This window comes from Homo sapiens, chromosome 3 (genome assembly GCF_000001405.40).
Source record: "Homo sapiens chromosome 3, GRCh38.p14 Primary Assembly".
In the NCBI taxonomy this organism is placed as follows: domain Eukaryota; kingdom Metazoa; phylum Chordata; class Mammalia; order Primates; family Hominidae; genus Homo; species Homo sapiens.
In genome coordinates, this window is record NC_000003.12 from 125100247 (window position 1) to 125122753 (window position 22507).

Genomic DNA, 22507 nt, shown 5'->3' on the forward strand with positions numbered 1-22507 from the left:
CAAAAACTTCCCAAATTTGATGAAAAACTTTAATCAACAGGAAAGAAAGAATGAATCAATTGATGTTGCCTCTAGCAATGTGTACATACACCTAATTATCACAAATCTGCTATTTTTATTTAAATTTTTATAGCTTAATAGATATGCAATTATATATATTTATTATTATTATTTTTTAAAAATGGAGTCTCACTCTTATTGCCCAGGCTGGAGTGCAATGGCATGATCTCGACTCACCGCAACCTCCACCTCCCAGGTTCAAGTGATTCTCCTGCCTCAGCCTCCTAAGTAGCTGGGATTACAGGCATGTGCCACCATGCCCGGCTAATTTTTGTATTTTTAGTAGAGATGAGGTTTCTCCATGTTGGTCAGGCTGGTCTCGAACTCCTGACCTCAGGTGATCCACCTGCCTTGGCCTCCCAAAGTGCTGGGATTACAGGCACGAGCCACCATGCCCAGCTTAATGCTATCTTAAAGATGATTTAGGCCGGGCGCGGTGGCTCACGCCTGTAATCCCAGCACTTTGGGAGGCCGAGGTGGGTGGATCATGAGGTCAGGAGATCGAGACCATCCTGGCTAACAAGGTGAAACCCCGTCTCTACTAAAAATACAAAAAATTAGCCGGGCGCGGTGGCGGGCGCCTGTAGTCCCAGCTACTCGGGAGGCTGAGGCAGGAGAATGGCGTGAACCCGGGAAGCGGAGCTTGCAGTGAGCCGAGATTGCGCCACTGCAGTCCGCAGTCCGGCCTGGGCGACAGAGCGAGACTCCGTCTCAAAAAAAAAAAAAAAAAAAAAAGATGATTTAATTTGTGTTCATTTAATCAATATCATGGCCTAGTTCAAAACAAATACCCATTGCAAGTGTTGGCATACACACTGTGTAGTGGTTAAGAGCACAGGTTTGACAGTCAGATTGACCTGGGTTCAAATTCTGACTGTCTCCTATCATGAGCAAGTGTTTAACTTCTCTGAGCCTCAGTTTTATCATCTGTAGAAAGACAGAACAATGCCTAAATCTGGGCTTCAGCGAAATAGCTCATATTAAATGCTAATCTCAGTGCCAGGCACATAGGATGTGCTCAGTAAGTGCTGGCTATTTTTAGCTACTAATAATACTTAACAATAAGAATTCATTTGTTGAATGGACATGAATGAGTGAGCATTAATTTTTCAAATGTAAAACTTTGTATTTATCTCACCTGACATCTTTTCAGTAAAATCTGGATTTTGACCTTCCTGTTTTTAAAAATAATACGCTTTGGAAGGTATGCTTTCATCAGTTGTGTTTTGTCAGAATAATTGTTTCCTTCTGTGACACTGTGTTGTACAAATGTTTTTTATTTCTATTTAATCAGATATCTTGTCTTTGATGATGTCTACGTAGTTAAAAAATCTCTCTTGCACAGCTGTTGTAAATAAATAATTCTTGTGTATATAAGGTATAAAATACAGCCTCAAGTTAATTTTTAAAATCCATGCTTTCAGGAATATTTATTCCATTGTGATTTGATTATTATTATTTTATAGCATCTGGTTTGTCAACGATTAGGTTCTTATAATAGTTTAACTCTTTCTATTTGATCAATGCTTCAATGTTTTAGCCAAAATTTGCTCAATTGCTCATCAATTCAAGTAGGCTTTACTGAGTGTTTGCTACATTATGTGTACTGTATGGGAATATTGTGACGAGTACAGAGGTAAAAAGACATAGTTTGAAAACAAAGGAATCTGACAATCTAGTGGCAAAGAAATGAGTTTAATATTTATTTCCTTAAGATAGACAAATAAACCTAAAGACAAATGTGTGAACAAATGTGATATAAATATGATGTGATATAAATATGAGATAATAGTTTATATTACTAATATGAATCAAATGTTATGGTTGCACAGTGGAAGACATCAGAGAATCCTTCTCCAAAAGGGGTGAAAGTGGGTCTTAAAAGTCAGATGGATTTTAAATGATGTCAGAGTTTTCCAGATGGAGAAGGGGGAGGTGAAGCAATCGGAGGAGGCAGAACAGGGTGTATGAAGGCAGGAAGGAATAAAGAACATGGTGTGTTTAGGACATCAGTTTGGGTGAAAGCGGAACGTACAGTGCATGGGTTGTCATGAGAAGTGTGGCCAGGAACGTAGGTTAGGGCTGCATTGCGAAGAACCTTGCATCGTACACCCTATCTGGGACTTTACACGGAAGGGGTTAAATTCCAGCAAGCATTTTTAAGTAAGAGAGACATGATGAGAGTTTTATTTTAGAAAGATCATTCAGTGGGCAGCATGAAGGAGAAATGGGATGCGGGAGAGTCTTGGAGACTTAGCAAGAGTCCAGGTACAAGATGATGAGCGTCTGCACCAAAGTAAAGGCAGCAGGGAGTGGGAGAGAGGGAATGGTCAGCAACACCTATGACATTTCTAAGACTAGGCAGCTGGACAGCGACCACTTCCTTGATTAAACATTGCAGACTGTCCACGTCTCTCCTGAAAATCCAATGAGAAGACAGAAAAGGAATGAAACAGACATAAACCCACAAACACGAAGAGAATGAGAGAGGAAAAATAAAAACAAGTCCTGGAAGATGGAAAGGTGACCGTAGTGACAGACTGAGCAGAGCAGAGGAGAGTGAACCCTAGGGCCCCCAGAGAGGGTGCTGGCAGGGAGCAGCCCAGTTCATTCTGGCAGACCAGCTTCAGGACCAGGAAGCACCACATCCCATGCAGTGGTAAGGTATAGGGGGCTGTGGGAGGTCTATATTTGTTGTATACCAAGATCCTTTTCTCTGCCTATGAAGCCAAGTAACAACCCTTCTGTTGCCCAATTCCCTCCTCAAGGGGGCTTTCCTTTGAAACAATCAAGCCAGAGAGTGCCTAAACTTGGCACAGCAGGCACAGCAAAGAGTGTGGAAATGGAATTTGAAGGCAGGGAATTAAATGAACATCTATACCCTAAACAGTGGGACCCCTCTCCAACTCACTCACCTCATCCTGTTCCCAGAATGCCCGTACCTATCTGTGTGTCCCTCGGGCAAGGGATTAAAGAACTCTCCTCCAGAGGAAAACGTGAAGAGCCCAAGAGAAAAACCTCTAGATATTCACATTTGGGGGTCCTCCAGTAAAAAGTCTAGCCCACTCCTCCTTATTCTACAGTAAGGTGCCCCAATTAACAAGCCCTGCTAATGTACAAAGCTCTTCTAAACAGTTTTTTAGTACTTCACTTAAAAAAAAAAAAAAAAAAAAAGAGAGACAGAGGCTCACCCTGTCACCAAGGCTGGAGTACAGTGGCGTGATGATGGCTCATTGTAGCCTCAACCTCCCAGGCTCAAGCAATCCTCCCACCTCAGCCTCCTGAGTAGCTGGAACTACAGGCATGTGTCATCACACTTGGCTCATTGAAAAAAAATTTTTGTAGACACAGGGTCTCAATATGTTACCTAGGCTGGAGTGCAGTGATGTGATCACCACTCACTGCAGCTTCAACTTCCCAGGCTCAAGTTGTCTTCCCACCTCAGCCTCCCAAGTAGCTGAGACTACAGGCATGTGCCACTATACCCCCACTAATTTTTTAGTTTTTTGTAGCAGCCGGATCTCGCTATGATGTCCAGGCTGGTCTTGAACTCCTGGGCTCAAACATTCCTCCTGTCTCAGCCTCCCAAAGTGCTGGATTACAGGTGTGAGCCACCGTGCCCAGCGAGTGCTTCACTTTTAAGTACAAAAAGAAGTCAAAAGATCAATGGACATTTTAGTAAAAGCCTCCAAGATTTAAAAAAAAAAAAAAAGAGAGAGAAAGAGAGAGCCCAAACCAAAGAGAAAATAATTAAAGAAAACAGGAACAGTGAAAGGAACAGAAAAACTTTTTAAAATTATTTTTACTTTTATTTTTAGAGACAGGGTCTTGCTCTGTCGCCCAGGCTGGAGTGCGGTGGAGTGATCATAGCTCATTGTAACTTTGAATTTCTGGGCTTAAGAGATCCCCCCACCTCAGCCTCTGGAGTAGCCGGGGCTACAGGCATATGCCACTATGCCCAGCTAACTTCCTTTTTAATTTTTGTAGATATGGGGTCTCACTGTGTTGCCCAGGCTGATCTTGAACTCCTGGCCTCAGGTGATCCTCCTGCCCCAGCCTCCCAAAGTGCTGGGATTACAGGTATGAGCCACCATGTCCAGCCTCAGAAAAAAATTTTAAAGGAGGAAGATCAATAATAGTATCAGAGAGAGAAGATAAGCCATTGTACTCATAGAACAAAAATAGATGATGTTCAAATTAGAAAAAAAAAAAAAAAAAGACAAGGACAAATTAGATCACAACCAAGAGGTCTTGGAAATTAAAAACTGGATAATTGTGGCATAGACTGATAGTTGCTACCTTATCTCTCCTTCTTTCTTAGGAAAAAAAGAAAAAACACATAATTTTATGTAAAGTAGTAATATGACCAGTTAAAAAACAATTTTATCAGCCTTCTTTGCAGTTTGTTGTAATCACATGACTAAATTCCAACCAATGAAATATGAGAAGTTGGAATGGGACTTTTGAGGAAGCCTCCTCCAAATGACTCAGTTTAGAGGCTCACCCTTTTGCCCTTTTTCCCTCCCCTTTTTCTAGTGCCTGGAATATAAATGTAATGGCGTGACCCCAGCAACCACATGTTGGATCACAGAACAATATACTAAGTGATAAAGGAGCATGGGTCACTCAGGACCATGGAGCTGCCATGGCAGCCATGGACTGCCCACCTCTGGATCCTTGTGTATGAGCTAGATGAAGTCACTATTATTTTGCAATTTTGTTATCCTCAGTCAAAACTAATCGTGACTGATACAACAACCAACACTTTAAAAAAAAAATCATTAGAAGCCTTGGGAGAGAAAATCCATGAAATATCCCAGAAAAAAACAACAAATAAATGAACAATAGGAAAGAGAAAAGAAAGAAGATTAGAGAACCATTTAAGAAGATACAAAATCGAGATAATAGAGGGGGGATGGAGGGATGGGGGTGGGGAATTATCAAAGAAAAACTATGTAAAAGCATGACTTTGGTAAGAAATCTCTTGTTTCCTGGATCTGACACAGAAGTGTGGTAACAAGAGGAATTCTAAGACAACAGCTTTGTAGCAGACCTAGCAAACAAACAATCTAGAGTGGAACAGAAGGATGGAGCCATAGGACAGAGGGGAAAAAAGAAAAGAATACATTTCTGAAGAATTGGAGCATTTTGAAAATAACACAAAAAGGCATTTGACAGATCTGCCAGAGCATTTAAAGAAAAATGATGACAGAAAACCAAGCAAAGAAAAAACCAAGGCAATTATTAATTCCAGGAAACAGCAAAAGTTGAGCAAAAAAGGAAATGTAATCATAGTGTAACATATGGCTCAGAACTGAGCAATATTTACTTAGTCATGATAACAAGAATACTAGCTTTTAATTTAATAAAAAACTGTGAGATAACTACTCTGGGGGCATTAAATAAGGAGAAGTCAGAGTGGCATATAAGAGTTAAATCCAGGCAGGGTGTGGTGGCTCACGCCTGTAATTTCAGCACTTTGGGAGGCTGAGGTGGGTAGATCACTTGAGGTCAGGAGTTCAAGACCAGCCTGGCCAACATGGTGAAACCCCATCTCTACTAAAAATACAAAAATTAGCTGGGTGTGGTGGTGGGTCCCTGTAATCTCAGCTACTTGGGAGGCTGAGGCAGGAGAACCGCTTGAACCCGGGAGGTGGAGGTTGCAGTGAGCTGAGATCGCACCAAATCCTCATTTACCATAACAGCAACTCAAAAGATGATGTCAGAAACTGACATATCAAGAAGTAGCAATGCAAATACATTATTTAGTGACAGATTAACAGAAGAAGCATATTTTTGGTTCAAAGTGGGATTTTCTGGGAATGGGACTGGAAATAGAGAAGGGTAAAAGGGGTGGTATAAAAGAGTAGGAACTACTGTTTCTGGTTATGTGACTTTTAATATTATTTGGCTTATTAAATTGTACACTTATTACATTGATTAAAATAAAATAATTTTTATTTTTAATTAAAAGTTTCCCAGAAATTTAGAGGCAAAGAAGGAAAAACAGGTTTCTGGGAGAACTTAAAACACTAGGTTTTTGGGGTTTTTTGTTGTTGTTGTTGTTTTGTTTTGAGATGGAGTCTCACTCTGTCACCCAGGCTGGAGTGCAGTGTCATGATCTTGGCTCACTGCAACCTCTGCCTCCCAGGCTCAAGCAACTCTCCTGCCACTGCAACCTCCGCCTCCTGGGTTCAAGCAATTCTCCTGCCTCAGCCTCATGAGTAGCTGGGATTACAGGCAGCAGCCACCATGCCTGGCTAATTATTTGTATTTTTAGTAGAGACAAGGTTTCACCATGTTGGTCAGGCTGGGATTATAGACGTGAGCCACCGCGCCCGGCCAAAACACTATTTTTCAGACACCTCCTTCTATGTCCCTCATCTCCTCCTCTTTGCCCACACCTGTCTGTATATAGCTCCAGGGAGAGCATAATGTAGAGGAAAGTACATGGGCCTCAAATACAGACAATACAATGCAGGGTGATGTCCAGCTGTGCAAAGAATCAGGTCAGAGTCTTCTCTGTGACCTCATGTGGACACAAGGTCTTACTTGTAAAAGGGAAAATGCTAATATATGTTATATTACACGAAGTAATAGATGTAAAGCACCTAGAATATGGTAGGTCCTTGAAAATACGAGTTCTCATTTTCAGAATTTCTCATGCTCTATAAGCCTCTCTGTGAGTGTCTCTGTGTATCTCTGTGTTTATAGATTTGAGAAAACAAAGCTTGAGCCACCTTCTGTCCATCCCCTCTTGCCTGGTTTGGGAGGTTCATCTTCCACAAAGAAAACATATTGCATCCTTAACAGGTAGTTTATCACAACACATTTCCACTTCTCTTGTAAGGAGAGATTGATTTTACTCACATTGAGGCTTTATACTTCTGTTCATTTTTGAGTGAAAAGAGATTGATACCCAATTACTAGCTGTGGCTCTCAGGTCTAACATACAGGAGTAGATAGAAATTTCTGTTTAAAATTAACTATCTATAACAGAGTATAATTACAAATAATTCAGCTGATACCTGAATATAATGTTTTAAAACAAATATTGCACAAAATTAACAAGGATTTTAAACCCAGTTATAACTGGTTCACAATAACTGGGTAGGTAGGATAATCAGTGGTCATCCCCAAATAAGAGGCCCCAGTGTGATACCAGAGCACTCACCTTCTCCACTGGACTCTGATTGGTTGCACAGCTCAGGAACAAGTTGCTCTCCATATGTTCCCTCAGGCTGAGTCCCTTCGCTCTTGGAAGTCTGCTTGTTCCAGCAGGACTCCTGCCCCTCCCAGGAGGCAGCGGGCAACCTGTCAGAGATCTCGACAGGGAAAGAAGGAGGGGATTTGAGGTCCAAGAGGAAGCTATCTTGTAGGGTCTGCTTGGTGGCCTTCTTGCTTTTCCTCTTCTGACTTTCTGGGGTCCTGTTACCCTCTCCTTGCCTGGGCTGGCTACTCTCAAGCTTCCTGGTTAGCTGGAGGAGCTGATCCATGTCCTTGGTGAATTCCAGTAGCGTGCCCTCCAAGACTCTTTGGGCAGGTCCCTCAGAGCCGTAACTGGGAGCTTTCTCTAAGAGCAGGTGCTCAGAGCAGTGGAGGCCTTCTGCGCCCTCCCTGAGCACCGGCTCAGGCACCGGGGTCAGGCTGCAGGAACACATGGACAGGGAGAAGTAAGAGTAGTCCACTGCAACGTATGTCAGCATGAAGTTGATGGTGACGATGGGGGCCAGAACGTTCACTTGACCCACAAAAACAAAGGCCATGGTCACCAAGCTGGTCAGGCAGATGGCAGCCACGGGTGTTTTGTTTGGCCCCTTCTGCAGGAACAAAAATAACATGCAGGACCATAAAATTTCAGATAGAACGCTTCAGAGATTTCAGAAGTTACAGGCTAGAAACACAACTCATAATGACTCAGCCACTTCTCCCCATGTGATTATTCATCTATAAACTTGAGATAATAATATCCTACTCATGGGATTAGTTCATGCATGCGAAATGCTTCACACAGACTGACATGCAGTAAGCTCCACAGATATTAGTTGCATTAGCAACTTTTTTTTTTTTTTCTTTTTTTGAGACCGGGTCTGGCTCTGTTGCCCAGGCTGGACTGCAGTGATGTGATCTCAGCTCATTGCAACCTCCGCCTCTTGGGCTTAAGCCATCCTCCCACCTCAGCATCCTGAATAGCTGGGACTACAGGTGCACACCACCATGCATGGCTAATTTTTGTATTTCTTGTAGAGACGTGGTTTTGCTATGTTGCCCAGGCCAGTCACAAACTCCTGGCCTCAAGCAATCTGCCCACCTTGGCCTACCAGAGTGTTAGGATTACAGGCATGAGCCACTGTGCCCAGCCATAGGAATAACTATGAACATGGGGCATTATTATAGAACTTTGACTTCCCAAATATTTCCTCCTTTTGTCTTTCATTGGGTTTTAATACCAGCATAGAAAATCAAAGAAATGCAAAGTTGATTCTTCCCAGGGAGAGGCAGATTGCGGAAGACACAGCAGAATCACTGGTGGCTGGAGGAGGGGAATTCTGACACTAATTCTGACACTGAGTATCCGCAAATACTCACACACACACATTACACACACCTGTTATTAATGGAGGTGGGTATGGTGACCTTCAGGTGGACAGGAGTGGAAAAAAGGTGCTAGCTGCCTCTCCTGGGAGCTCTTCATCACAGTCACTGACATAGTTCTTGGGCCAAAAGCAACAGTCACTTCTCAGTCCCTGTCTTCTTTAACCCAGCTGGCTACTCAGTCCTCTTCGAAACACTTTCTTCACCTTACTTCTCCTGATTGGCCTCCCTCTTCACTGGCTGCTCCTTCTTGGTTTCTGTGGCTGGCTTTTCACGTCTCTGAACTCCACATTTAAAGCAGCCCCAGGCTCCATCCTCAGATCTCTATCTGTACTCCCTCCCTTGGTGAGCTCAACTAGGCTCACGGCTTTGAATACCGGCATTATACTGACAACTTCCAAATTTGAATCTCCAGCCTAAAACATTCCCCTGAAACCCAGGTTTACATATCCAACTGCCTACTCAACATTTCCAGTGAACGTCTAATAGGATCTCAAACGGACTATGTCCAAAACCAAACTGCATTTTTGGAGGAAGATAAAGGAAGAAATCAAGGATAAGTTGCAACGATGTGTTCCCTAAACCAGAGAGAGGCTGAAAATTGGAAGCGGCTGGGGAGGCCCTCTGGGGTACCCCAACAAGACAAAAATGAACTCTAGCTTGCAAACCATATTAGTGGGAAATGGGATTCTCTGTTTATGTCTCTTTGGTCCTCCCCTGGACTTTAGGAATGTCTATTTTAATCATTCCAGCCATGTCTCAACTGAGCTGCCCTTTATGTATCAGTTAAGGTTTGGTTCATGATGGTTAACAGGAAGTGTAGACGCCAGAGGTGTAGGAAATCATCAAACAGCAACCCCCAAGGGGCGGTTGAAACTCAAGGGCAGAGTTAGAGCTGCAAGGACCAGCTCGCCTCCTGACCAAAACACGCTTTCTTCTATGCTAAACCTGGAGGATCCTGAATTCATTTTCATTAAAGGATGGGGCACTGCATTTTCATGCTGCTCAGGGTCCAAGATGGTACTAGGACTGGTTAGCTAACCCAGTCCTAAAAGTGCTAAGGGGCTGGGTGGCTGGGACATTTAAGATGCTTCATCTACTTAGCCCTAACCTAAGCCAGCCAGAGGACAGGGCTGAAAGAAATGACCTCTGCATTATTTTCTGTGTCACCCCAAAGAAATTGACCAGAGGCTCTGATCAGAAAAGCTTAACCAATTGATGGGCCAACAGTGAGGTTAGCAGCAAAACATGTTTCAAAAAACAAACCAAAAAAAGAGGATTACTCACCCCTTGTCCCAGACAGGCAAGTGCAGGGATCACTTTCTCCTGGGCAATGCACTGCAGGATGCGGGGAGCTCCATAAAGTCCTCCCATGCAGGAAGCCAGGGACGAGATGTATAAGCCCAAAAGGAACAGGAAGCCCATGAGGGATACCTGTGTGAGAAGCGGTTTCATTCGCCAGTGCCAGAACCTGCTCCTGTGCCTTTCTACCCCCCCAGCACCCACCCACCTGCACCCCATGCAATCATCCACTGAGTCGTCTAGATCTGATCCCTGGGATACAGTTTCCACATCCCCAGCCTCGCCCCCATTCATTCCATGGTTTCAGCTGAATCCACCACCACATTTCATATGGATTGCACAGTGGTCCTCAAATGAAGCGTCTGCCAGACTCAGCTGCAGGGCTTGCTAAACACAAACTTCTGGGCCCCTCCTCAGAGTTCCTGGTTCAGTAGGCTTGGGGTGGGGCCTAGAAATCTGGATTCCGCATGCGTTCCCAGAGACCACACTTTGAGAACAAACTGGCCAACCACAATGCTCATTGGCCTCTTGCCTTTAAGCTCACCCTTAAAGATGAGTTTAAATCTTCAGATGATTCACTCTGAATCATCCCCTAAGCCTCTGTTCTCTAAACTCAAATCTGACCACAATGTCTCCGTTGCAGATATATCAAAATCTCCCCCTGTCCTGACATATAAGGCTCTTCATGGTCTGTGACCTCTTTAGCTCCACACCCTGCACACTGAAAGTCTGATCAGCATGATTTTTCTGTCTGTAGGAAGCCTCTGTTCACACGCCCTAATCTACTCATTGTCTGTTAAACTCCTAATTGTGCTACAAAACTCAGCACCAACCTCACCTCCACTGTGAGGCCATCCCCTCTTCCCTGACTACAGTAGTTGCTTCTCAGTGCTCCATAGCATCCCCAACATGATGTTAGGATAGCACCTATCGTGGTGCCCCCTCCACTAATCTGGAGGCTTCATTTAAGCAGGCCTTCTGTCTTGTTTACCCTAGAATTCTTGGTGCCCAACACAGAAATATAAATGACGAATGAATGAATGAGATCCATGACCCACAAGGCACCAACAGATAGAATAAGAGGGCACAGCTGTTCTTCTTGGTGTCAACTTGCAAAAGATCAGGGTCCAAGATGTTACTAGCTAACTCAGGGCTAAAAGTGCTAAGGGGCTGGGTGGCTGCATGACTGCTTGCCATGCACAGCCAGATCCCAAGCTGTCACTCATGAATTCACCCTCCTGGGCCAGATCTCATCTGTACCCACAGGAAAGCATCTTTGTTTTCTTATTTGAGGTGCCCTTTCCATTCTACTTTCCTTTAGGCACAATGGCCAGAACTGTACATTCCAAGTACTCATGCGTCCAATGCTTACAGATAGGTTAGAGTTAATATTCAGCTTTGTCACTTACACCCTTCTTGATGAAGGCTCTCCTCACCCCATTTTTTACTTCCTTGCATCAGCAAAGCACCGGATTCGTGTCACCAAGCTACATTGAACACAAGCCACTGGCTAGACTTCTTTCCTGGCTCATAAATTATCACTGGAATAATTTGACTGATGGATGAATCAGTCAGGACAGTTGATTGGAAAAAAAAAATTTCTTTAAAAAAGAATATATTTGTAGGACACTGGTGGTTTGTAGAATCATCAGGAGGCTAAAGGATGAGGCTCAGAAAAGGGCAGGACCAAGCCTGGAGGCACACCCAGCCTCTTCCCCAGGAACAGCTTGGCCAGGATGCTGCCAACACCCCTGCTGCCCTGTGGATGGATTCTCACCAGCTCTTTATCTTTACTTCATTGGTTACAATGGGAGCACGCAATGGCCTAGTGTAGGTCATGTGCCCTACCAGGGCTGCAAAGGGACAGGCAAAAGAGGTCTGGTCCATTGGGTTTCTATTACACACAATGGGGGTACTCTCTCCCTTCAAGACCATTGGTGGAATAACCCCCAAATGGTCAGGAAGGTCAGATGCTTGATGAACAAGACTAAGGTCCACTACGGAGCCCACCTTGTCTTTAATTCACTGTTGATTCCTTTCTTTATCATCTCATGCTTATCCCCAAAGAATCTCACCTGTCTCTTTTTTCAATATCGCAGATTTCTTGGGTTTGTCCTGCCCACCCCACTCACCATTTTATTACTACAGGAAATCAATGTCATCTAGTGTTTCCATCACTTTATGTGATCTGATGGCATTTTGTTACTTTCCATCCTGTGGGATAGTTAGTTATGCTCATGGCTTATCCTGCCAGCACCCTGAGCACCTCACAGGTAGAATTGTATCATGCTTCCTGGCCCCCTTCCCCCAGCACCTCATGCAGAATCTGGCAAGCAGAGCTCAACAGCTGAATTCATGCAGCTTCATGACTTTGCTGTAATCGTGCCCTAGGTGCCTTACAAAACTGTTAGATAAGCTGGATCCATTATCAATCCTCAATCCATTCTGAGATGTGATCATTCATCGATAACCTTTATTTCCGTCTTCTCTACCAAATGCAGCCTATGTTGACTGGTTTTTAAAAACCAGATTCTATGATGAAATTTTATCAAGAAAGAGCCTTTTGAAAATTTAAGTCAATAGTTCTCCACTCTGCCTAAACATAAGAATCACCCAGAGATTCTGATTTAATTAGTGTAGAGTGAGACACAGACGTGGTTGAGTTTAAGAAAGCCCTCCAGGTGATTCTAATGTGCAGCCGATGTGGAGAACCCCTGGGCACAACACATTGTAGCCACTGCATTCTCCCCTCAAAAAATTCTTTGGGAGAGTCAGGCATGGCATCTCCTTGCAGAAATTTCACTGCTTCTTACCTAAAAGGTTATGTATATTTGAATTTTTACAACTCTTTTTCATTTAAAGCCTATTTACTCACAGCAGGAATGAGTGGGAATGCCCCAGCCTGGCATCCTCCTAGTGTTGGACTGACCTCAGGAACTGGGTTGAGCCTCTGGCACCATGAGTACACGATATGGTGGCTTCCATCTTTGGCCAGCCTTCCCACAGACACACCCTGGGATTCCTCCAGAGCCCTAGGAGCTGGGGTCAGACAGGGCCAAGTATAGCAACCTATGTCCAGTTTGTCAATTGTGTAGAATGATCTGTTCACTTACCACTTTAAAAAAATATAAAACTATTATTCAGTCTATTTTCTGAGTAATATATGAAATGTTGGTCTCCACATCTAGATAAATTATAAAAACTTCATTCCATCTCTCTCCTGCCTAAATCCTATCTCTTTCTGTCATTTGTCATCCATCCATCCATCCATCCATTCAGGAAGCATTTCCTGACGACAGATTATGTTCCTGGCATGGTGCTAGGCAGAGCAAGGCTTATAGACACGTAGCTCTGCTCCCAGCCCTCACAGAACTTAATTGTTTTCTCTATTCATATCAGACTGAAAATTTGCTAAATGTGCCAGTGGAGGTGGAAGTGAGAATTTATTTGAGCAGAGGTGTGTCAACAGCTCTTTTTAAATAAACAGTGATTCTTTTCTGGCATACACCTGTTTGAGCCATCCCCCCACCCCCAGAGCTCTTTCCAAAATATTACATGGGGTGTGAGCTACCCTGATTTCTTTCTTCAGTAACTACTGATGAAAATAATTACTTCCATCTCTCTGCTCTTAGTATTTTCTCCCAGCTCCCACTTGAGCTTCGGTCATTGAGGGACTCTGCTCATTCATTGGCTGCTCTCTTCTCTCAAAGGACTGGATTTAAAGTCATTTGCAAGGCGCTCATTCTGTCTCATCTAATTGCGGTGACCCCTGACATAACTGGGGAGTGCACCCTAAAAACCTTTACAATCCCAAGTGTATTAATAAGGCCGAGTCTCAACAACGCTTTTTTTCCTCCCACATCTCATTTCTAGAGTCATGAGTTTCCTAACATCTCCACGCTCCATGAATTGATCAACATCTCAACTTTCAGTCAAGTTTTACCTCTCACTTGAGAGCCATTTTCCATAATGAGACCTAGTCTGCTTCCCTTCCTGAGAGGCAGGACTGTGTCCACGATGGAGGGCAGAGGACACTCAGGCTGGCCCACTCCCAGGTGCTGAGTGGCCCACTAGGCTCACTCCCCAGTTACCAGCGCTGTCCCATCCCCATCTTCCCTGTACAGCTTGTGTCATGAGCTTCCAAGGTCCCTCTTGAATATGTGAAACCATGACTATTAAATCCAGGAATCAGAGTTTGCTCTGTGGGATTACCCAGTTTTAGGGGGGTTTTGTATTTTTGAGACAGAGTTTCGCACTGTTGCCCAGGCTGGAGTGCAGTGGCACGATCTTGGCTCACTGCAACCTCCGCCTCCTGGGTTCTAGCGATTCTCTTGCCTCAGCCTCTCGAGTAGCTGGAACTACAGGCATGCACCACCACGCCTGGCATATTTTTGTATTTTTTGGTGGAGATGGGGGTTTCACTGTGTTGGCCAGGCTGGTCTTGAACTCCTGACCTCAAGTGATCTGCCCGCCACGCCCTCCCAAAGTGCTGGGATTACAGGCATGAACCACCCAGATTCCCTAGTCTTAACAATAATACTTTTGGGATATTTTTCCTTCTTAGATTGCTCTTATTTTGCTAGTTAGCAAGCCCCAGGGCTCCTAAGGTATTTGGCCTTTTTTATTTGTAATAAACATCTGTTTCCTGGACTGTATACGAGTTTATTCTGAAACATTTAATCTATTTAATTTCACCCCAACTAACACTGTTTATACAATTCCTTTTCTAACTAAATAATACTGAGATTGACTGTTCTGGCTTTTCTATTAAATATGGTGGATTTGTGGGGAGAAAATGTGTTCCTAAAATAAATGTCTTGATCTGTAAGGGTATGCCCATAAGGAGTGTGGAAGGGAGTTAAAATTTAGTTAGCATCTGCTATGTGCCAGGTAAAATGTATTATAATTAGCACCTACTACATGCTTTCATGGGTTATCTCAGAGCCACCACTGTATACAAGATGTTTAAGAACACACATACACCTGAGAGCTGGGAGAAAGTTCCTCTGCAGTGGGGATAAAAAGTAAAAAGACGTCGCCGGGCGCAGTAGCTCATCCCTGTAATCCCAGCACTTTGGGAGACTGAGGCGGGTGGATCACCTGAGGTCAGGAGTTCGAGACCAGCCTGGCTAACATGGTGAAACCCCGTTTCTACTAAAAATACAAAAAATTAGCCAGGCATGGTGGCATGTGCCTGTAATCCCAGCTACTTGGGGGGCTGAAGCAGGAGAATCACTTGAACCTGGGAGGTGGAGGTTGCAGTGAGCTGAGATCATGCCATTGCACTCCAGCTTGGGCAACAAGAGCAAAACTCCATCTCAAGAAAAACAAACAAAAAAAAAAAGTAAAAAGACGCTTCTTAGAGAAACTGTGAGTTGAGAAGCCAAATAATTAGAAATAGATCAGAGAAGCTGCAGGAAACCCAGAAAGAAACAGATTAACTGACCAGCTGCAGATCAGTAGAAAGGAATCCAGGGCAGCCTGCAGCCATTGAAGATAATTGTTCTGGCAGAAAGCCCCCGAGAGAGAGGAGTGCATTTGGGAGCTGCTTGTGAACGAGCGCCAAGGAGAGTATGTCAGAGACCCACCCTGTCTCAGTGTCCAGAGGTGATGCGCGGGGCACACATACAGAAGAGGCCTTTTTTCAGGCCCAGGAAAGCTCAGAGATGCGCCGGCTCAGAACTGAAGCCACAAGTAAGACAGGAAGCTGAGGTGAACAGGTTATCAGGGTGGCCGGTTGTGTCAAGTGACCAAAGTAAAGAAACTCCGCCCTTGCACCTCCCAACCAGTGTAGGTTGCACCCTCCCATTCTCCAGGTACTGCCAGTAAAAACATCTGTGGCCCAATCTACTGCCTGAGCACGGTACCTGCTACTGCAGCGGAGTCAGTCCCAAGGAGCGACACCAGTGAGCAGGAAAGCAGAAAAGGTGTGGGAGGAAACTCCTGTGTGGTCCCCTTTAGGGGGTGGGTAGTGGGAACCAGAAGACCCAGGTGCTGCTATTTTGAAGTCATCAGGGTCGGTTCCATCACTGCTTACTGACTTGCTGCACCTGCCCATTTCTACTGAGAACCAAGAGCAGTAGCTTTGTTCCTTTATAGGCTTTACAATGGTCTCTTCCAGGGAATGGTCTCTTGTCCTCTCCGAAAACTAAATCTCCACATTTCATCCCAGTGTGTGCATAATTACATTCCCAAGTGTCATTGCTGGGCCTGATGAAGCAGGTGCCCCCAGCTGGCTAAGTGCTTGCCTACCTGCTCATTGTCGGGACAGGTGGCATTCCACAGGAGGCTCCCCCGGTTTGTGTGCCTATCATTAGGTGTGGGATTTCCACCCACAAAGGCTCTCATGTGCTGTCTCTGGGCTGTTTTTACCCTACTGCTGTTTGTGGCCTTCCTTAGATACAAAGCTGCCTGCCCTCCCATATACCTACTCTGATCATTCCCTTGAAAAACAGGGGAAGGAGAGGAGGGAGGAGAGCTGCGGCCCAGGGGATAATCAGATCAGAGTCCCTAAAGGGTGGAAGGACCTCTGTGAAGGAAAGCATGAGAAAGGAACTTTAGAAGCAGGCAGAGCTGGTCAGCCACTGGCAAGCTGCAGATGAGCAGGAAGCATTTCCCTCGGTCAAACCAGCCTCACCCAGTCTGCTCCCTGAGGCCTTCAATTCCTGTAATGCAGCCAAGCTTTTCATTCCACAACTAGAGAACAGGCCCTTGGGAGTGAAACTTCAGACGGAAGCATGCATGTAGATACAAATGAGGGCTATAGATTCCTGCCCTGAGAGCAAACCTTGCCACCTGGGGGTCTGTGACCTTGGGTACTGGAAAGTGGGTATCAGTTCTCTCACTAACTGAACTGTACTGCCTTCCAAAAAATCTGCTTTTATACTAAGGGCAAGACCCTTGAAAACAAATAATCACCTTTGCATGGGTGCCTACAAGCCTTAAAAAGAAACCTGTGCTAATGTGAAAACCAAGCTCAAACATATCTCTCAAAAGAAAATTCAGAGTTTCCTGCCCCAGGTTGCCCCAGGCACTGGCCCTCCATTAAGACCAGCAGGGCTGCTTTGCAAAGCCTCACACCAAGAGAAAATGGTAGTCTATCCTAAAATATAGGGGCTCATGCCTGTAATCCCAGCACTTTGGAAGGCTGAGGTGGGAGGATCACTCAAAGCCAGGAGTTTGAGACCAGCCTGAGCAACATGGCGAAACCCCGTCTCTACAAAAAATTGAAAAAAAAAAAAAAATAGCTGGGTGTGGTGGTGCATGTCTGTAGTCCTGGCTACTTGGGAGGCTGAGGTGGGAGAATCACCTGAGCCCTGGAAGTTGAGGCTGTAATGAGCCATGTTCACGTCACTGTACTCTAGCCTGGGTGACAGAGTGAGACCCTGTCTTTAAAAAGTTAAAATTAAAATATTAAAATTTAAAATACATAAAATATAAGCAGTGATACTCAGGAGTTCACAGAAAAACTCCCTAACCAACTACATTTCTCTGAAAAATGATGGGAATCTCAGGGTCTACTTTTTCTCCAAGAACTTAAAGGAGGGTGGGAGTTTTTGGGGATTTCCAGAAAAATATCTGGAAATCTTATTCATGTGGCTTCTAGGATGCCAAATAAATGTCCTTGATGTCAGATGACCTCCAGCCAATGCCAGGAATTCATTAATCTTCTCCTGGCAGGGTGCAGACTCTAGAAACAAAGATGTTGCAGCCAAATCAACCCAGAATGTCTGAGACTCTCAGGAAAGCCAAAGGGGTCAAGGACCTGAGGGACAAGGAGGGCCTCGGCCCTCACCCTGGCACTGGGCTTCCGCCCGCTCCCTCCACGTCTGCCTGTCCAGCCTCCTTCTCCACTTGCCACTTCTGAGCAGCACATTTGATTCATTGTGGAAGGTGAAGCTATTAGCAAAAGTGAGGCACTTGCTTAACTGGGAATTTGGGGTGAGCAGATTCTTCTGTTTCTGTCCTGATTTTTGACAGGAAGAGATGTCCCCATTATCTAGCCCCTCATATTTGTGAATCCCTCTGGGCATCATTATCTGTTTCTAGAAATCCCTAAGCAGGGCCTGTACCTTTTCCATCATGTCTCTTCCCCACCACAACCCAACACTTCAGTCCTGGGCTAGAGACTATATGAAGGCTGGGCGTGGTGGCTCACGCCTGTAATCTCAGCACTTTGGGAGGTCAAGGTGGGAGGATCACTTGAGGCCAGGAGTTTAAGACCAGCCTGGGCAACATGGTGAGACCTCATCTCTACCAAAAAATTAAAAAAAAAATTAGCCCAGCATGAGGGCATGCCCCTGTAGTCCCAGCTACCTGGCGGTCTGAGACAGGAGAATTGCTTGAGCCTGGAAGGTTGAGGCTACAGTGGGCTGAGATTGCAACACTGCACTCCAGCCTAGGCAACAGAGTGAGACCCTGTCTCAAAAAATAAATTAATTAAATTTTAAAAAGACTATATGGATTCCCAGACAGTACTGCAAGGGGAAGGTGGCCATTTGTTGGTGAGAACAAATAAATGACTCCGGCAGACTGAGCCCTTGGAGTAGCGCAGGCCTCACTCACCTTTTCCGCTATCAGGAAGTCATAGCGAAGGGCCTCTCGAGTGCAGATGGCGCCCAGGAGGAAGACGAAGATGATGTACAGAAACCACCTGCAAAACCCAAGAGCAGAACAGAGCTGCCCCCGACTCACCTCACCCAGCCCCATCCAATTCCCTCACTCAACCTTCTGTTTCCAAAGGGAACTTGTATCAGAATGAGAGAAAGGCCAGTCATGAAGCTTCCCCAGCTGGCTTGGGAGGACACTTTTTGTACTATTTCTCTTCTGGCATATTTCTTACCAAAAAAGGGGTACCATTGTTTTGTTTCTTTTTTTACTTTTAAATATATATAAAAATATGGAACACTTCACGAATTTGCATGTCATCCTTGCACATGGGCCATGCTAATCTCTGTATTGTTTTAATTTTAGTGTATGTACTGCTGAAGTGAGCAGTTTTTTTTCTCTTTCTTATATTAAAAAAGAAAAACATACAAAGGGCATTCCGAGTAGGGAAGTGGGAGGCCCAGTTGCCTCTAGGTTGCCAGGATTCAGGCCAGGGTTGCCCCGCAGCCTCACACCCCAGCCTCCTCCAGCAAAAGAACAAGCTGATGATCCTTCGGGCCTCTAAGTCCTGCTGGTCTGTTATCTTTGGATCAGATAATAAAGAGGGAAACTAAAGTCAAAAGGCAGAGAGCAGAGGCCTGGCTCTGTCCCCAAGATGCCCTGTAACCTTGAACAAGACCCAGGTTCCTGTGGTCTCCTCATTCCCATCTGGGTAATCAGAGGATGGGCCAAGGGTTCCTCCTGGAACCTCCCAGCTGGGGCCAGAAACAAGACAGGGTCCTCATTCAGAAGCCTCTTTCTTTTATTTCCTTCCCAACACTCAACTCTATCTCTGTTGTCTTCATTTTCTTCCCAATGTTATTGCACAAAATACCCTGATGCTGTACGCCAGGCTGATAGCAATGGTTTCACTGCAGTAAGCTAAGAACAAATTCAGTGTTTGTGAAACAGATACATTAATATTTTCTAAATACTGTGGTTAGAATAACACAGGCCCTTTTAACTTCTCAAGTCATTGTTTCTGGTCTCTGATCTCTTTGCCTCTTCACACCTACCCAATGAAGGGCAGAGAAGCTTCTTCCTGTGGTACAGAGAGAAACAATATTCTAAAAGGTCAGAAATAGACCCAAGGTTACCCAGCCTGCTTGTGTGGGTGGCACAGTGTGAACTAAAACCCCAGAGGCCTGACGGCCTGGGGGAGCTGGAGGGGAGGCTCACTGGGGGAAGAAGAAGAGCTGGGTGCTGAGCTTCCACTGTGTGCCTTCTCTCCCCGCCGCAATCTAGGAAGCACATACAGTGTCATTATCCCCATTTCACAAGAAAGGAAATGGAGGCTCAGAGAACTCAGTAAATTGTCCAGAGTCATGCAGCCAATCAGCGGCAGAGCTGAGATGCAGCCCCAATTCGTCTGATTGCAAAACTCTTCATCTTTATGCTCCCTCCAGTGATCCTGGAAACTCGGTGGTTAAAAAAATCCCCAAGTTCAAAATGGGGGTGGGGGAGGGACGGGGGCGGGAGGCCGAGGAAAGGAAAGAAAGGATTCGATCTGTGATCTGGGTCCCGACACTCCTCCTCGGCAGCATTCCCAGGCAGGGCGCATGAAAGGGCAGTGTCTGAACCCACCAGACGTGAATTTTCCAGCCCACCGAGTGTTAAAAGAAGGATCGGAATATGAAATAGATTGGTCACAGTCGGGGCACTCTCAGAACAAAAGGGGCAATCCCTCTTCTGCCTGGGGTTTTCTCTCCCACTCTCTAGCTCAGACTGATTGCCATGAGGGGAACTTACGAGATGCCAACAGCTGCCAGGGAGCCCAGGGGAATGCTGGCGGCAGGCTCCCTGAGGTCGCCCCCCATGTTGAAGCCGGCCATGACTCCTGAAAGACACCCAGATGGGGAATGGGGTGAGCAGCCTCCTCCACGCATCGCCTTCCCCAGGGCTGCCCCTTCCTCTCCTGCGGGACCCTCTCCTGGAAGCTGTCCCACCGCAAGCCCTCCAGCTGCAGCTCTGCGCATAGGCTGCTTTTCAATCTCCCCTGGCAACTAGGGAGGCATCCCTGTGGCGTGAAAGGCACCTTTGTGGGTTGGAGGAGGCTCAGGAGGAAAGCCCTCCCAGCTCCAAAAGCATCCTACCGCTCAGCGCAAAGCAACCAGGGGGGAGGAAAGCGGCTTGCAAGGCACACAGAGGTCCTGCGCTGCCTGCTGAGCTGGGACAATGCCCTGGAGAGGCTCAGCATTACAAAGGTCTGGCAGCCTCCTGCTCAGCAGCTTTCCCTGCCTCTGCTGCCTGCTGATTCCATGGGAGCTTCCTGTGTCCTCGGGGTCAGGTACCATCCTCCAAGCCCCTGAGCTACCAAAGGGCTTGAAATAAACTCCAAAAAAACCAATCCTGATGCCACTGACATGGAGTCACAAGCTCCTTTTCATCATCACCTCTCTTCTGCAAGAACACTAATGAAAATGAATTAATCCATGAGGGACCCACAGCACAGTGCTGCATGGTGAAGTGGGGATGTTGCCTCTTCCCATACAAACAAATATATGAAAGCAACAAGACAGGGTGTTCTGAACATCGGATGAGGATCCAGCCCACAAGTGCCATAACAACTCAGTGTGATGGGCTGCCCTGGTCAGGAAAGACCCGTGGAGGGGGTTGTATCTTGAATGTGGCCTTGAAAGAGGGATTTGAATGGGCTTAGGGATGGGAATGAATCTAACTCCATGATTTGTGAACACTTTCAAACTGCCTGGGCCTGTGTCAAGTGCTTTACATGCATTTTTTTATCCTGTTTAATTCTCATAACAACCTCATCAGAAAGGTAGAATTATTTCCTCATCTTATGGAAAAGTGTTCAAAGAGGTTAATTAAAACAGCCTAAGGTCACACATTTAATAAGCAGCAAAGCTAAGATTCAACCCTGGTCTGTCTGACTCTGAAAATTATGCTCTTAATGCCTCTGCTACAATGCTTCACAGAATCCAAGCGAAGTGCAGTGAAGTGACAGTTTGGAACCAGAAAGTGAAAGTAGGGGGGTGTATTTCAGAGAGAACCCTGAATGCTGGCCCGCGGATGGGGTGCATATACTGTCACCCAGCAACTCCACTATGAGGACTTTACCCATCGTAGGTAGTCAAGGCTATGAGGGAAGATTTAGCCCAGCGTGTTTATAAACGCTTGTTTAGAATAGTGGAAATTAGAAACAACCTAATGTCTAAAAATAGAGGGTTGGTTAAATAAGTGATGATATAGCTTTCAATAAATACTAGGTCTCAGAATATTGTAAGGGATATGTTGTGACATGGAAAGATGTTTAGAAGCTTTTGCTTAGTTTTAAGACGCATATTAGAAAACAGAACACATGGTATGATCCCATTATTATAAAAATATATAGAAAAAGGAACTGGAACATGTTTTAAAACATTAACAATGTTATTTCTGGGTGATAAAAGAACAGGTCATTTTTATTTGACTGTTTATATTTTCTCAATTTTCTACAATGATCATTTTGAAACGTGAAAACTTTTAAGGTTTTGTTGTTGTTGTTTTTGTTTTTGTTTTTAACGGCCTGTTAGGCACATTTTCTTTCCTCTCATTCCCTCCTCTCCAAGATCCTATTAAGAGCATAGTAAAGGGGAAAAGTAGATAAATTCCCATAAGCAAAGAGAAGTTGGGAGGAGGACCCTAAGTAGATGAAAGGTTCCCATGAATGTCTGGAACATAGAACATAGAAAATGGAGAATATAATACCGAGGAAAAGAGAAGGAAAGAAAGCCTCGGAATGCTTCTCTACAAGATCTCAATACACTGAGGAAAACCAGGGCTGGACGTTTGCACCCCAAATAAAGCCCTGCTCAAGAATCAACAGCACTCACAAACTTCTCATCAAGGTAGGGCCCCAGCAGGGAGACAGACCTAACCATGCGACAGCTGGGGAAATCCATGC

At 45.1% G+C, this 22507-nt stretch overlaps 1 protein-coding gene and 1 pseudogene across 2 annotated transcripts in view, besides 12 other annotated features; both read right to left on the reverse strand.

Annotated features, from left to right (window-relative positions):
* The window catches only part of SLC12A8 (solute carrier family 12 member 8), a 130105-nt gene that overhangs the window by 17603 nt on the left and 89995 nt on the right, over positions 1 to 22507 (reverse strand). For both annotated transcript variants that reach the window (NM_024628.6, NM_001195483.2), the window contains 4 exons: positions 20353 to 20440; positions 18523 to 18610; positions 9943 to 10089; positions 7235 to 7880 (listed from right to left, as the gene is read on the reverse strand). In NM_024628.6, the coding sequence (NP_078904.4) occupies positions 7235 to 7880; positions 9943 to 10089; positions 18523 to 18610; positions 20353 to 20440 (969 nt within the window). The remainder of the gene's footprint in view (positions 1 to 7234; positions 7881 to 9942; positions 10090 to 18522; positions 18611 to 20352; positions 20441 to 22507) is intronic.
* Positions 7166 to 7666: an enhancer, noted in NCBI's record as "H3K4me1 hESC enhancer chr3:124826256-124826756 (GRCh37/hg19 assembly coordinates)". NCBI's record gives its function as "activates a minimal SCP1, AML or CMV promoter by ChIP-STARR-seq in naive H9 embryonic stem cells {active_cell/tissue: H9 hESC(naive)}" and the evidence as "EXISTENCE:reporter gene assay evidence [ECO:0000049][PMID:30033119]".
* Positions 7667 to 8167: an enhancer, noted in NCBI's record as "H3K4me1 hESC enhancer chr3:124826757-124827257 (GRCh37/hg19 assembly coordinates)". NCBI's record gives its function as "activates a minimal SCP1, AML or CMV promoter by ChIP-STARR-seq in naive H9 embryonic stem cells {active_cell/tissue: H9 hESC(naive)}" and the evidence as "EXISTENCE:reporter gene assay evidence [ECO:0000049][PMID:30033119]".
* Positions 7942 to 7991: an enhancer, noted in NCBI's record as "active region_20410". NCBI's record gives its function as "activates an Ori minimal core promoter by ATAC-STARR-seq in GM12878 lymphoblastoid cells {active_cell/tissue: GM12878}" and the evidence as "EXISTENCE:reporter gene assay evidence [ECO:0000049][PMID:35858748]".
* Positions 8002 to 8071: an enhancer, noted in NCBI's record as "active region_20411". NCBI's record gives its function as "activates an Ori minimal core promoter by ATAC-STARR-seq in GM12878 lymphoblastoid cells {active_cell/tissue: GM12878}" and the evidence as "EXISTENCE:reporter gene assay evidence [ECO:0000049][PMID:35858748]".
* Positions 8652 to 8731: an enhancer, noted in NCBI's record as "active region_20412". NCBI's record gives its function as "activates an Ori minimal core promoter by ATAC-STARR-seq in GM12878 lymphoblastoid cells {active_cell/tissue: GM12878}" and the evidence as "EXISTENCE:reporter gene assay evidence [ECO:0000049][PMID:35858748]".
* Positions 8752 to 8921: an enhancer, noted in NCBI's record as "active region_20413". NCBI's record gives its function as "activates an Ori minimal core promoter by ATAC-STARR-seq in GM12878 lymphoblastoid cells {active_cell/tissue: GM12878}" and the evidence as "EXISTENCE:reporter gene assay evidence [ECO:0000049][PMID:35858748]".
* Positions 10381 to 10590: an enhancer, noted in NCBI's record as "active region_20414". NCBI's record gives its function as "activates an Ori minimal core promoter by ATAC-STARR-seq in GM12878 lymphoblastoid cells {active_cell/tissue: GM12878}" and the evidence as "EXISTENCE:reporter gene assay evidence [ECO:0000049][PMID:35858748]".
* Positions 10881 to 10930: an enhancer, noted in NCBI's record as "active region_20415". NCBI's record gives its function as "activates an Ori minimal core promoter by ATAC-STARR-seq in GM12878 lymphoblastoid cells {active_cell/tissue: GM12878}" and the evidence as "EXISTENCE:reporter gene assay evidence [ECO:0000049][PMID:35858748]".
* RNU6-230P (RNA, U6 small nuclear 230, pseudogene) lies at positions 18851 to 18954 on the reverse strand (annotated as a pseudogene).
* Positions 20205 to 20254: an enhancer, noted in NCBI's record as "active region_20416". NCBI's record gives its function as "activates an Ori minimal core promoter by ATAC-STARR-seq in GM12878 lymphoblastoid cells {active_cell/tissue: GM12878}" and the evidence as "EXISTENCE:reporter gene assay evidence [ECO:0000049][PMID:35858748]".
* Positions 20257 to 20763: an enhancer, noted in NCBI's record as "NANOG-H3K27ac-H3K4me1 hESC enhancer chr3:124839347-124839853 (GRCh37/hg19 assembly coordinates)". NCBI's record gives its function as "activates a minimal SCP1, AML or CMV promoter by ChIP-STARR-seq in naive and primed H9 embryonic stem cells {active_cell/tissue: H9 hESC(naive and primed)}" and the evidence as "EXISTENCE:reporter gene assay evidence [ECO:0000049][PMID:30033119]".
* Positions 20764 to 21269: an enhancer, noted in NCBI's record as "NANOG-H3K27ac-H3K4me1 hESC enhancer chr3:124839854-124840359 (GRCh37/hg19 assembly coordinates)". NCBI's record gives its function as "activates a minimal SCP1, AML or CMV promoter by ChIP-STARR-seq in naive and primed H9 embryonic stem cells {active_cell/tissue: H9 hESC(naive and primed)}" and the evidence as "EXISTENCE:reporter gene assay evidence [ECO:0000049][PMID:30033119]".
* Positions 21475 to 21694: an enhancer, noted in NCBI's record as "active region_20417". NCBI's record gives its function as "activates an Ori minimal core promoter by ATAC-STARR-seq in GM12878 lymphoblastoid cells {active_cell/tissue: GM12878}" and the evidence as "EXISTENCE:reporter gene assay evidence [ECO:0000049][PMID:35858748]".